This window comes from Homo sapiens, chromosome 22, assembly GCF_000001405.40.
Source record: "Homo sapiens chromosome 22, GRCh38.p14 Primary Assembly".
Taxonomy (NCBI): Eukaryota; Metazoa; Chordata; class Mammalia; order Primates; family Hominidae; genus Homo; species Homo sapiens.
This window is the reverse complement of record NC_000022.11, coordinates 19,545,663-19,547,803: the sequence shown is the minus strand read 5'-3', so window position 1 is coordinate 19,547,803 and position 2,141 is coordinate 19,545,663.

The following is a 2,141-nucleotide window of genomic DNA, read 5'->3' as shown; positions in this document are numbered from 1 at the left end:
ACAACAAGGCTGAGTGTGGTGTCTCATGCCTGTATCATCCCAGCACTTTGGGAGGTCAAGGTGGGTGGATCACTCGAGGTTGGGAGTTTGAGACCTGGCCAACATGGAGAAACCCCATCTCTACGAAAAAAAAAAAAAAAAAAGCCCGGTATGGTGGCGCACACCTGTAGTCCCAGCTACTCGGGAGGCGGAGGCAGAAGAATTGCTTGAACCTGGGAGGTGGGGGTTGCAGTGAGCTGAGACTGTACCACTGCACTCCAGCCTGGGCAACAGAGTGAGACTCTGTCTCAAAACAAAAAAAAATTCATGAAGTACTGATACATGCTACAAAATATATGAACTTTGAACTTTGAGGCCATTATGCTTAGTGAAACAAGTCAGTCACAAAAGGGCAAATACCTCATGTATGATTCCACTTACATGAAGTACCTAGAGTAGTCAAATTCATAGAGACAGAGAGTAGATATGGTTGCCAGGGACTGGAACAGGAGGGTACTGGGGAGGTAGTGTTTGGCGGGTATGGAGTATCAGTTTTACAAGATGAAAAGAGTTCTGGAGATGGGCGGTGGTGATGGCTGCACAACAATGTGAATGTACCTATTGCTACTGAACTGCATACTGAAAATGGTTAAGATGAGGCCGGGCGCAGTGGCTCATGCCTGTAATCCCAGCACTTTGGGAGGCTGAGGCAGGTGGATCATTTGAGGTCAGGAGTTCGAGACCAGCCTGGTCAGCATGGCAAAATCCCGTCTCTACTAAAAATACAAAATTAGCTGGGTGTAGTGGTGTGCACCTGTAATGCCAGTTACTAGGGAGGCTGAGGCAGGAGAATTGCTTAAACCCGGGAGGTGGAGGCTGTAGTGAACCAAGATTGCGCCACTGCACTGCAGCCTGGGAGACAGAGCAAAACTCGGTTAAAAAAAAAAGTAAAGTGCATGTCATGTATATTTTACCACATTCTTTTTTTAGACACAGGATCTCACTCAGGAGTGCAATGACACAATCACAGCTCGCTGCAGCCTTGACCTCGTGGCTCAAGTGATCCTCCTGCCTCAACCTCCTGAACACCTGGGACTACAGACATGTGCCACCACACCTGGCTAATGAAAAAAAAATGTGTTTTTTGTTGTTGTTTTTTGGTAGAGATAGGGTCTTGCTAAATTGTCCAGGCTAGTCTCAAACTTCTGACCTCAAGTGATCCACCTGCCTTGGCCTCCCAAAGTGCTGGGATTACAGGCATGAGCCAACGCGCCCGGCCTCATCTTAGCCATTTTCAGTATGCAGTTCAGTAGCAATAGTATATTCACATTGTTGTACAACCATCACCACCGCCCGCAATTTTTACAAAAGTAAAATGAAAAAGAGAATGTCCAATGGGTGATATCTTTGAATGTCTCTACATTTGGTGGCATCTTTGGAAAATACAATCTGCCACAGAATCATACAGTAGACAGTTCAGGGGCTTGTGCCTCTCACCCGCTGTTACCTTTATAAAATTCATACAAGCTGTGTGTTGCTCTGCATTGCATGTATTCCACTGTGTGAATATACCACAGTGCATTCATCCAGCCTATTGTTGATGGACACTTGTGTGCACTCTAGTTAGCACTATTAAGGGATTAAGGGCAATGCTCCCATGGATATTCTCGTATCACTACTCTGGCACACACGGGTCCTTGTTTTCTGGCTCATGGGCTACGCACCCGTTCTGCTTTGTGAGATACTGGGGAACTGTTCTCCAAGTGGTTGTGTCACCTCACACTCCCACCAGGTGTGTGGAAGACCTGTTCGTAACCTCCCCCACAACACTCTAGGACCACCAGGAGACCTCCTTTAACTGACTCTGCTTGGTTTCTTTCCTGGCAGGACCTGCCTTTCCGCCCAAAGCTGCACGGCGGAGCCAGTTTGCTGCCTCTCTGACCACTGTGGTGGGCCCTCCCGGGAACTGCTCTGCCTGCCTCACAAAGCTGCTCTCAGGGCTAAAGCTGGCAACTGCAGCCATCCCTGCCCTTGCCGGGGGCTCCTTCAGGGCCGTGGCTTCTGCCTGGGTGCCCTTAACTATGCCCTGATCCTATCTGCTTCCTGTCTCCCAAAAATTCTTCAAACTCTTCCAAAATTTCTGGTCAACTGATGGCAGTCTC